The sequence below is a fragment of the Homo sapiens genome, chromosome 2, assembly GCF_000001405.40.
Source record: "Homo sapiens chromosome 2, GRCh38.p14 Primary Assembly".
In the NCBI taxonomy this organism is placed as follows: domain Eukaryota; kingdom Metazoa; phylum Chordata; class Mammalia; order Primates; family Hominidae; genus Homo; species Homo sapiens.
Genome location: NC_000002.12, coordinates 6,827,843 through 6,840,486, shown reverse-complemented (window position 1 = coordinate 6,840,486; position 12,644 = coordinate 6,827,843). Strand labels below are relative to the sequence as shown.

The 12,644-nt window shown below is 38.7% G+C and overlaps 1 long non-coding RNA gene across 1 annotated transcript; it reads left to right on the top strand.

The window, feature by feature from the left end:
* Nucleotides 1–22: 22 nt before the first annotated feature.
* NRIR (negative regulator of interferon response) lies at nt 23–11,933 on the top strand. Its single transcript, NR_126359.1, has 4 exons — nt 23–196; nt 7,057–7,173; nt 10,381–10,519; nt 11,532–11,933. It is a non-coding gene; the product is annotated as a negative regulator of interferon response (long non-coding RNA).
* Nucleotides 11,934–12,644: the final 711 nt, after the last annotated feature.

Sequence of the window (12,644 nt, the reverse complement as noted above, 5' to 3'; positions counted from 1 at the left end):
TGAGTGGGAACTCTCTGTTCAGTTCAATCCCACCCTTCCTTACCAGATACTAAAGTCATTTCTACCTTTCCTCTTGAGATTTGCTGTTAGATATTAGAACTTCTCTTTGTCACATACTTACAGGGAGATTTTGATTATCCATGGGATTCCATTCATAACCTCATAAACCACCCCCACGAAGAAATTATATATCTCGGTGAGTAAGATTTAAAGTGGAACTTTATTACTTCACACATATGGGAATTGTTGTACTCACCTTGCTCTTTGCAGTAGGACTGCATACTGTGGCACCTTCTAAGTGGAATATTGGGAAAAGAGTCTCAATTGCCATAATCTTTTGCTTAGTTATTATTCATATAGCAGGGATAGTAGTCACAGGCAAGAGATAAACATGAAGATTTTGTTACTATCAAGTTTACTAGCATTCACTGTTAGATGTAGCAATGCCTCACATTCTTTGGCTCCTACAATATCAGATATTACCGATCTCTACAACAAGACTGATTACTGGGTTTGCCCTGAACAATTTACTCAGTTTAATAACACCAATGGACTCTTTGATGATTCAGAACTCACTATCTTAGGGTTTCCCTCTGATGGCTTTACCTTAAATCATTAAGGACCTAATAGGTATAAAGGGAACATGGTATGGGAGCATTTTTAACTCCACCCAGAAAGACACACCTCCTGATGGTAAAACTCACACCCTTAGACTAGGTGAAGTTGATAGAATGATAGCCAATGCCTGTCTCTGCTTTAAGAGTAAAGGAAAAGGACCATACTCGGGAAACCTTAAATAATTGCAACAGTATGCTTGTAATTGCTGAGAGCACAGAGATCTGGAGACTAAGAAGGAACAAGGGTGACACCAAACATTGGGAGAGACTGTGGAAAAATTTTAACAATCTAGCCAGACCTCCCAGGTGGAGTTCCCAATGGGAATGTCTACCCCGGGCAGAAATGCCACCCCTCGCCAACCTTATTATCAGGTAATAAATAGCACATGGTCCTTCCCAAACATGCCCACACATGGAATCCTGGACCCTTGTATGATATTTGATAATGACAGTGATCTGCAGATTTGTGAATGAACAGGGGATGTCTGGGCCAATAGCCGCTGTAAGGAGGGTTGTCTAAGATACTGGCTGGAACATATTGCGTCTCTGATCTTTCAAAACTATATTTGCCAAACAGATTCTTCCCTCCCAGCATGTAAAGTTCCAAACAATACTGTGGATGACTATACTAAGTATGGATATCCTTATTCTAAAGATGCTTGAATTAGATGTAGGGAAGGCAACCTTATAAGGCCTGGACTAAACTTAGCTGGAACCCTCATAAATCACAACATAGAACCATCCCTTCAGGGAACAGGGCTTTACTTTCTCTGTGGCTCCAGGCTATGCTTATTCCTCCCCAGGCGCTGGAGAGGAACATGCACTATAGTGGCAATGGTCCCCAATTTGTTATTTTTAAACCCCACTGACAGGGTAGCATTGTTGGGTGACATCGCCAATTTGGGCTCTTTTACAGAAAGTGCATTCCATCACACATACCAAAACAGGAGATCACTTATCTCTATGCCATCATATGGAGATTAAAATGAAAGAGAGAGAACTGGCAAGAATATGCACATGGCAATCCTATATTAGAAAAACGGAATAAAATATGCAATAGCCAGAGGCCTATTTTGGCTTGGCGGTGTTCCCCTTCTTGAAAGATCAGTGCTTAATATTTCTATCATGATGTAACAAGGGTGAAAGGTAACTGTAGGAGCCATAAAAGCCCAAGAGCAGTCCATAAATTCTCTGGCCTCAGTGGCCATGCAAAATAGACAAACTCTTGATGTCCTTATGGCTGAAGTAAGGGGCGCTTGTGCATTTGTAAATGAAACATGCTGTTTCTGGATCAACACCTCCAGTTAGGTAGAGGAGAATTTATGAGTGCTTAAAGACTCAATTAGAATCATTGACAAATTAGGTGAAAATGCAAACTCAGTTGGCTACAATCCCTTTTTAATGGATTCTAGTCTTTGTTTTGGACCTGGTTAGCTCTCTACTAGGACCTCTTTTTCCCGTGTGCCTTGTGATAATGTTTGGACCTTGCATACTCAATGCTATAACCAGAGAGATGGAGAAAAAGATGAATGGTACTCCCATGTGGAGTGCCACCACAGCCCTGGGCCCTGCCTCCTTGTACATGTGATGAGCACATTTCTACCTGGTTTAAGCCATTCTTGATTTGGGTTTCTGATCCACACAGAGTTGAATGTATATTCTTTTACTTTTTGCACCAAGAACCTAGGACACCTTCACTAACATATGGGACTAAAATGTTGTTGTTGTTGTTGTTGTTTGAGACAGAGTTTCACTGTCACCCAGGCTGGAGTGCAGTAGCCTGATCTCGGCTCACTGCAACCTCTACCTCCCAGGCTCAAGCAATTCTCGTGCCTCAGCCTCCCAATTAGCTGGGATTACAGGCATGCACCACCATGCCCGGCTAATTTTTATGTTTTCTATAGAGATGGAGTTTCACCTTATTGCCCAGGCTGGTCTTGAACTCCTTGGCTCAAGCAATCCTTCCACCTCAGCCTCCCAAAGTGCTGGGATTACAGGTGTGAGCCATTGTGCCCAGCCAGTACTAAAACTATTTAAAAGGAACCCATGAGGCTGGGTGTAGTGGCTCACGTCTGTAATCCCAGCACTTTGGGGGGCCGAGGTGGGTGGATCACTTGAGGTCAGGAGTTCGACCTGTAGTCCCAAATACTTGGGAGGCTGAGGCAGGAGAATTGCCTGAACCCGGAAGGTGGAGGTTGCAGTGAGCTGAGATGGTGCCACTGCACTCCAGCGTGGGCAACAGAGCAAGATTCCATCTCAAATAAAATAAGATAAAAAATAAAAAGAACCCATGAGATATCAAATACTAAGCATATTAAAGAAAATACTGAAATCAATTATATGCAATTATTGATTGATTGCTTAGAGCTTAACAGACTAGATCCTGTGGAGTTTTCTTTCTATCTGCTAGACTAGGGTGCCTTGAGAGAAGGAACCTTGACGCTTTCCTATGTAAAAGTTGTCATACCCTGAAAGTGCCAGGTACAAAGATGACAGTCAATTCATGTTTCTTGTTTAATTCTCAAAGTTATAGTCTAGACATAAGTTACACTAGAGGATTAGAATATATAATAAAGTACGAATTATGTGATATGGACAATGAATCAGTTTAAAATATTTTTGAAGCCAGGAGACATGCCCAATGCTTTTTGATGTCTCCCACAGCCAACGTGGAGTTTGAATGTCTTAGCTCAGTGGTTCCCAACTCTGGTTATACATTAGAATCACCTGTGCAAGTTTTACAACAAGGGATGCCATGACCCTGCTACAGATCCATTAAGTCAGACTGTTCAGGAATGATGTGTGTGTGTGTGTGTGTGTGTGTGTGTGTTTTCCATTTGATCCAATGAACAGTTGGGATCAGGCACTGATCCACTTACATAGTTTCAAATATTCCTAAGCAAGTTGAAGGCACATGGCCAGCTACTAACACACCATTTTCCAAAGCATGAAGTTAAATCACAGTCTGTGAGGCAGACATGGAAAATAGCTAACCACTCCTTTGTGGAAAGGGCTGGGCCAGCTGAGCCTAGCACCACAATGTCAGTGCAATTCTGTGATTATCTCTTGTTCAATGTGCATTTTAAGGTATATATTATATGGGAGAGAGGTATTTGCAAATTTAAGGAGTCAAGAATATGTCAGGATTTAGTCCTCATAAATTTCATGTATTTAGAGAGTGACATAATGCTGTTTGTCCCACAGTATCTACTTACCACTTATTCTTGGTGACAGAATTTTAGCTGGATGCATGACTTTCTAGATTATGACTGCATTTCTTGGACTGTCTTGCAACCATATGTGCCACTGAAGTATGGTCTAGCCAATGGGGTGTGAGCAGATAAATATGTACCTCTTCAGGACTGTTTTTGCTCTCACAGAGGGTTGTGCTCAGATCCCATAGTCCTTTTCTGCCTTTCTGCTCATTGGAAGATAATAAGAATTGAAGAAGTCACTTTGACTGTGAGAGGGAAGTTATAGGTTGAGATGGTAGAGTCAGCTCACCTGCCCTTGCTGCTTACCTTGAACTGTTACGGGAAAGGAACATTCATCTCTATCTTGTTCAAGGTATGGTGATTTGGTAGTCCCTCTCTCTCTCTCTCTCAGAGAAAATAATGTTATATCTTAACATATACTTAATGTGCTCATTTATGGTGAGTTTGTATAACTGATCTCTTACTTTCTAACTTTATTATTCTCAAATAGAAAAGTAAATATATAACAAAGGACTATTGGGTATGGCATAGGCAGTTGTGAAATGAGTTAATATTGATATAAGCACACATTAGAAAAAAATTTATAGGGAAGGGAATGGAGCTTGGCTTTGAGAAATGGGCAGACATCCTTCAAATTTATTTTTGTTATATACAACTTTGTAAGTGACAGTTTAAATTATCTTAGAAAACAGACCAGGTCTTCAGAAGGCCCTGAAATATATGTCTTTCTTTTTCTGATGGGATCCCAAATGGAGTTTCTTGATTCTTGCCAATGTTAAGTCAGTATTCATTTTCACCACTGAATTTTGAGATATAGAGTGCATTAATCACTTGTACAGAAGCAGAAAAGATATGAACAAACTCAGATTGAAAAGTTGACTTCATGGCAATTTGTTCTCTGAGTCATATTTTTCCCTCCTTTTATCTGGGTTCAAATATGTCATTATATAATTTAGAAACAGATGTAATTCCTCAGCTACAGTGTCTTCTGCTCAATGCCATGTTGTTTCTGCACCTGGTATGACTAAGTAAGCTCTTATCATAGCTGTACTTCCTGTGGAAAACAACTGTCAACTCTGGAGAAAAAAATGTTCTGCAGGCAATGTAAAGAAGAGAGGAAGATTTTAGAGTGGACTTGAAACTTGGAAGAAAGGAATGTCTTAGGTTTTTATTCTAATGATAGGCCCATGTCAGCTCCACCTTGGTGACTAAACCCTGATAGAAAAGACATAAGGGTCTTTCTGTTATGAAATGAGACCACTGGGAAATGAAGGACAATCTTGCAAAAAAGATAGCCAAAAGGGGGAAACCCTAAATTTTGAGTATATACTCTGCCCAAATCTCTGGCTAATTCACAAATCATAGATGTGCAGGATAGACTTCACCAAAAGTTAAAATATTTGTATGAGATTTGAGCTGACATCCAAAAGAAGGTGTGCAGTTCTTGTCAAATGAAGCTAATTGCCCTCTAGAACTCAATTCTTTTTAGAGGACTATAACAGAATCCAGAGTCTCCACCATGTAATATACACAATATCCAATATACAATCCAATATTATGAAACATACAAGGAACCAAGAAAATATAAAGCATTATCAAGAGAAGGAAATTGATCAATTGAGAATAACCCCAAGGTGACCCTGTTGTTGGAGTTAGCAGATAAGAAATTTAAAGCAGCTATTATAATTATGCTCAAGGATGTAAAGGATATGCATGTCATAAATGAAAAGATAGGAAAGCTCGTGGAGAAGTGGAAACTCTAAAAAGGTATCAAATGGAAATTATAGAACTGAAAATTACAACAGCTGAAATTAAAAGCCATCACTGGATGGCTTTAGCGGTGTAATAGAATTGACAAAGGGAAGAGTCCATATACTTGAGGATAGATTAGTGGAAATTATCTGCTCCAAAATATAAACAAAGCATTGGAGATTTGTGATACAATATGAAAAGATCTAACATACGTCTAATTGGAATTCTAGAATGAAAAGAGAATGAGAATGAAATGTTTTTTAAATGTGAAGGAACCATATTTCCCCTTTTATGGGTAAATGTTTTCACAAAATGTTTCTCCAATATAGTGAAACATAAATTTACAGATTCAAAACATCTCAGTGAACCCCCATCATTGTAAATCCAAAGAAAACAATGCCTAGGCATATCATAGTTGTATTGGACAGTGACCTTCTAAAACTGATGTCCTTTCTGGAACTTCAGAATGTGACATTATTTGGAAATATGGTTGCTGCAGATGTAATCAAGTTAAGATGACATCATATTGGATTAGAGTGAACCTTAATCCATTATGACTAGTGTCTTCATAATAAGAAGGGAAGATGAGACAGAGACATGAGACACAATGTCATGTGATGATAGAGGTAGAGATTGGACTGATGCAGCTGAAAGCCAGGAACACCAAAATATGATCATCACTACCAAAAGATGGAAGAGGTAAGGAAGGATTCTATTCAGAGTCTCAGAGGGAAGACACCTTGATTTTGGACTTCTAGTTTTTGGAACTGTGAAAAAATAAATCTCTGTTGTTTAAAGCGGCCCAGTTTTGAGTATTCTGTCACAGCATAACTAGAAAATTAATGCACTCATCTAAACACTTAAACCAAAGATAAAATCTTGAAAGCAGCTGAAGAAAAAATACATTATAAATATTTATATGAAAACAAAGATGTAAGTTATTGCTGACTTTATATTAGAAACTATGGGCAAGAGAGTGCAACAAGATCTTTAAAGTACTGAAAGAAAAATATACCAACATAGAATTCTATGTACAGTAAAAATGTGCGAAATAAGGTGAAGTACTGACATTTAAAAAAAAAACAAAGGTAAGAGAATTAATCACAAATAATGCTACATTAAAATGTATGATGTGGCACATTATCAACATGACAATTAACGTGATTCATCAAAATGTTTTACATTTTGAGCCCCACTCTGAATTACTCAAACAGTTGAATGTTTGTTATGGACTGAATGTTTGTGTCCCCCCACCTCCAAATTCTTATGTTGAATTCCTATCCCCTAGAGTGGCTGCATTTGGAGATGGACCTCTAAGGAAGTAATTAAGATTACTGAGGTCACAAGGGTTGGGTCCTGATCCAATAGGATTTGTGTCTTTATAAGAACAGACACAAAAGTGTTCTCTCCCTTCCATGCGTGCACTCTCTCTCTTCCCCTCCCTGCCCTTGCCTCCTTGCGTCTGCATAAAGAAGAGGTTATATGGGCACATTGTGAGATGGTGGCCTCCCATGAGCCAAGAAAAGAGGGCTTAAAATGAATCCTACCTGGCTGGCACCTTGATCTTGGACTTCCTAGCATCCAGAAATGTGAGAAATAAATTCTTTCTCTTTCTCTTTCTCTTTCTCTTTCTCTTTCTCTTTCCCTTTCTCTCTTTCTCTTTCTCTTTCTCTTTCTCTTTCTCTTTCTCTTTCTCTTTCCCTTTCCCTTTCCCTTCCCTTTCTGTTTTCCTTTCCCCTTTCCTTTCCTTCTTTTCTCTTTCTTCCTTTCTCTTTCTTTCTGTTTCTTTCTCCCTCCCTCTCTTTCTTTCTCTCTCTTTTTCTTTTCTTTCTTCTTATTGGGATGGTTCTCTATTTCCCAGGCTGAAATAGCTCACTGCAGCCTCAAACTCCTGGGCTTAAGCAATCCTCCCACCTCAGGATCCTGAGTTGCTGGGATGGCAGTTGTGAGCCACCATGCCCACCTCGTGAGAAATTTCTGTTTAAGCCACTAGCCTGTGGTATTTTCTTATGGCAGCCTGAGCAGATTACTGCAATGTCCTTTAAGTTAAAATAAATTTTCCCTAAGCACAGCAAGCACTTCTATTAGTAAGTAGGAGGCTCAGTCAGTCTTCACGTATGCAAAAGTATTAATAGAATAGGCCTGGGAATGAAAGTGCCTGGTGTTCTATCTCAAACAGTCTACCCACTCAGGGAAACAGCTGTGAAGCAGACATAGCACTTCTCCATTGTCTTCCTTCCTCAGTGGTACATGCCTGGTTTTGTTTATTTTTTTCTTAGACTAGACTAATCTCCTTTTGTGCTGATCCTTCTCTCTGTAAAATCTCTTTTCTAGGAGCAATTATATAGTATCTTAAAAGTGTTTGGACACGTGGATCATTTTGGAACATACACCAAGAAAATAATCAGTGGTACACATAAAAAGGTTTTATTATAACTATTATCTTTAAATAATCAGAATATATTTATGTATGTGTATAATGTGTTTATTTGTAATACACACTGGTTAAATACATTGAGATAAATCCTTTTAATATAATGCTAAGCAGAATGCTGAGCACCTAAGAAGATGTAAATTATCAAAAATACATTTTTTCTCAGTGATAATCTGTGACTTTTTTAACATCTTAAAAATTTTCCCTATTTTCTACAACAGCATGGAAAATTAGAAATGCCATCTTTAGCAGCTTTATCGAGGTATGAATAGCTTGCAGAAAAGTACACACATTTAAAATGTACAAGTTAATTAATTTTGACATATGTATAATCTCATGAAACCATCACCACAGTAGAGACAGCAAACTGTAATATTACCTCTAGAAATGTCCTTGGGTCTTTTTGCAATCCCACCCTTCTGCCCTCCTCCCTGACCTTTTTATTCCCAGGAAAACACAGGTCTAACTGTACAGAAAATTAGTTTTTATTTTCTAGAATTTTAGATAAATGGAATCATACAGTTTGTGCCATTTTTATTAGACTTTCTTCAATTAGCAGCAAAATTATTTTGAGATTCATACATGTTGGTTTGTGGATCAATGATTTATTCCATCCTCTATATTTCTTTTTTAATTTTGTTGAGTAGTATTTCATCTTCTGGACATGTTGTCCTTAACCTGGGTTGGTCCCAGATTTTACCTGTTGCAAATAAACTGCTCTGGGCACCGTGTGCAACACTTTCTGTTGTTTTTCATGTTTTTGTGTAAATCTCTATTTCCGTCTAATATTTTTTCTTCTTCTGAATGACTTTCTTTAACATTTCTTACGGTGAGTCTGCTGGTGGGTGATGAATTCTTTCAGCTCTTGTATATGTAGAAAAGTCTATATTTTACCTTAGTTTTTGAGAGAGATTTTCCCTTCGTGTAGCATTCTAGGTTGCAGAGTTTGTTTGTTTATTTCTTTTAGTACTTTAACAATGTTGCTCCAATGTCTTCCCACTTGCATTATCTCTGATGGGAAATCTGCTGTCCCCTTCTGGTTGTTACTCTCTATGTAACCTGTATCATTTCTGGGCTGCTTTTTTTCTTTTCCTCTGGTTTGAATCATTTGATTATGATGTGCTTTGGTGTACAGTTATTCATGTGCTTGAATCTGTGTTTGATCTGTGGATTTATAGTTTACATTAAATTTTGAAAAAGAAAAAAGCTCAAATAGTTTTTCTGTCACTTCTCTCTTTTCTCCCTGGGGATTCTAATTACATATGTATTAGTTGACTGAAGCTGCCCCACAACTCACCGATGGTCTTTTATTTATTTTTTTGCAGTCTTTTTTGCCCTGTGTTTTTTTCTGGGTAGTTTCTATTGCTGTGTGTTCAAGTTCACTAATCTTTTGTAGTGCTCAATTGCAATGGATCAACCTAATGGACTATAAAGTTGTATAGTCTGGCTAGTAAGAACAGACACCAGGCAGTGTCTGACCCTGACCCTGGGTTCTAGTTCCTCTAATCTTTTTGGAATTTTCTTCACCTGGCCTTAGGTAGCATTTCTCACTCTCACGGTTCAATGATCAAGGAAGACTCTCTATAGAACTCAAACATTCTCTCTGTGCATCTCTAGCTCCAACTGCCTTGGTCTCCTGGGACTCCCAGCTCTATCCCTCTACTCAGGGAGACTGTTGGATTCTTCCTGTTTAATCTTTCAGTCTGCAAACTCCCAGAAGTCAGTGTGCTCAGGCACTTGTAGGGCTCACCTCATTTCTCTCTGGTCACAGGGACATTTTCAGTTGTTACTATTGTTTCATAACCTTGTCTGATTATTTGGTTTCTTCATGTTGGGGGATAAAGCTTTCTATTACTCCATCTTGTCAAGACACAAAAGTCCCTAGTGTAGTATTTTAAACAAGCAAAACCACCCTATCTTTCCCTCATATGTGACTTTTTATATCTTTATTTTGTAAGATTTCTTTAACTTTGTGTTTAAATCTTCTACTAAGATTTTCATTTCTGCTATCAAGTTTCTAAATTCCAAAGCCCCTCCTTTCCCCCCTTTTCTTCTTTCCTTTCTGTCTTCCTTTTCTTTTTTCCTCTCTTCCTTCCTCCCTTCTTTACTCTTTCTTTTCTTCCCTCCTCCATTTACTCCTCCTCTGCATTCTCTCCCTGCATTTCTTCTTTTCCTCCTTCCTTTTTTTCATCTTTCTTTTCTCATTATTTAAGGTTCTTTGAAAATATTTTTTTCTTGGATGCAATATCTGTACGTATTTTTCTGCCACTATTAATTATTGCTTCACTTACAGTGATTCCTGCAAACTTTCAATCTTCTCTAAGGTGGGGCTTTGTTTATTTATTTTATTTGCATCTTCCAGGTGACATGGTTTTCTGGTGCCTTGGCAACTGCTCACGATGCATGGGAAGACTAAACACTTTGTGTACAGCATTCTGTCTCATCCAGTGAAGACTTCCTCTGGATTATTGCAGCAGACACCTCTAACCTCCTTAATCTGTGTATGTAACCTAATCACTCTTTTTTTTTTTTTTTTTTTGAGACAGAGTCTCACTCTGTCATCCAGGCTGGAGTGCAGTAGCATGATCTCGGCTCACTGCAACCACCTCTGCCTCCCGGGTTCAAGCCATTCTCCTGCCTCAGCCTCCCGAGTAGCTGAGATTACAGGCATACGCCACCATGCCTGGCTAATTTTTTGTGTATTTTCAGTAGAGATGGGGTTTCACCATGTTGGTCAGGCTGGTCTCAAACTCCCGACCTTGTGATCCACCCACCTCGGCCTCCCAAAGTGCTGGGATTACGGGTGTGAGCCACTGTGCCCAGTCGAATGTTTGATATTTTTAAGAACCTTTTAGGTGTGGTTTTGCATTTTCACTCTTTTCATGCTTTAAAGCACACATCTTGTTACAACTCTTCCATGGAAAATCTCTGCCTTCCAGGGCTAAGCAAGGCTGTCCTTGGTGTGGCTTGCAGACTGAATTCAGCCAGCATGGTGCTATTTGATTTTACTTACAACAAACAAACAACTGTTCAGATTATTAGACAATGGAATGGGAATACCTTTGGAGTCACAATTTCTCCAATTCGCCATGTCTCTCTGTTGCTCTACAACTGTAAGGAGAGAAAAATAATTAGAAGAAGAGTCTCCCTCAATAGAGAGGCAGACATACACACCTGGTGATCATCACTGTGGTCCTGCCCACCCTGGCACAGGTGGGTCAGACAAACCTGGTCTGATTCTGATTTACTTTGCCTGAGGGAGTTAACAAAGGTTTCAGAGAGAGGGAATCAGAAAACCCTCATGTAAAACAGATACCATACATGTTAGATCGAATTACAATGGAGTAAACATTTCTTTCTTATTAATGTTGTTAGTGCTGTGTTTCTTGTCCTATTCAGTGACATGCTTTGACCTAGTAATTTTTATACGTGGACTGATTTTCAGATGCATGTGGGCATAAATTAAATACCAAGCATCTAATGTGGACTTGTGTATTTCTTTTTTTTTTTTAGACTGAATCTTGCTCTGTCGCCAGGCTGGAGTGCAGTGGTGCGATATTGGCTCACTGCAACCTCCGCCTCTCGGGTTCAAGCGATTATCCTGCCTCAGCCTTTTGAGTAGCTGGGACTACAGGCACATGGTACCATGCCAGACTAATTTTTGTATTTTTAGTAGAGATGGGATTATCACTATGTTGGCCAAGATGGTTTTGATCTCTTGACTTCGTGATCCGCCCTCCTCGGCCTCCCAAAGTGCTGGGATTTCAGGCGTTAGCCACCGCACCCAGCCTGGACTTGTCTATTTCATTTGGAGAACTTCAATTGATCTAAATCTACTTTGCAGCTTTTCATTGTTAATTTTGAATTTATTTAAACAAGTAAAATATTTAAGACATTTGTGTGGAAAACCTGTAACAAATTGCATTTGGTTCAATCCCTGATTATGTTTTAGATATGCCAACTCTTTTTCTCTCTTTTTTTAAAAATTTGATAAATACTGAAACCAATTCAATTTAGATCAAATACATTACATTTCCACTAGAGGGAGGAAAAGCGCTAATTTTGAACCTTTATGAGGGAACTGTGCTTTTGCCGAGATAATCACTTCCCTCATTACACACAAACTGTGTCTGGAAAAACAACAGTAGTTCCTTTCATTTTTATTTAAATCTCTTCTCTAATGGGAAAACAAAGGACAAAACAGGGAACACTTCTAGGTCAAAGTAGCAAATCTTTAAAAGTGGCTAATTTCTTGCTTCAAGAATTCTAAATACAGCCCCCAGGGTCAGAAAAATATTCAAAGGAAAACCTTAGTGATCATGGAACGCAATCTCTTTCTTTAATAGTGGTGAAAAATGAGGCCCACAGAGAGGCCTGCCCTGCCTAGGGTCATGTAATTTGTTAGTAGCAGATGCACGCGAGAATAGAAGTTCTGCAGTTCTTTTTCTAGTGCTCTTTATAATGCAGTATGGTCTCAGCATATCTGATGCAGTAAATGATATGTACATACACACACATTTTTTTAGGTACATATATATGGATGCATATGTTTTCTTCCATGTGAGGTAATGATTTGAAATTTGGCTTTAAGAGACATTCTGGGGATTTTATGTGTCCTTGTTTATT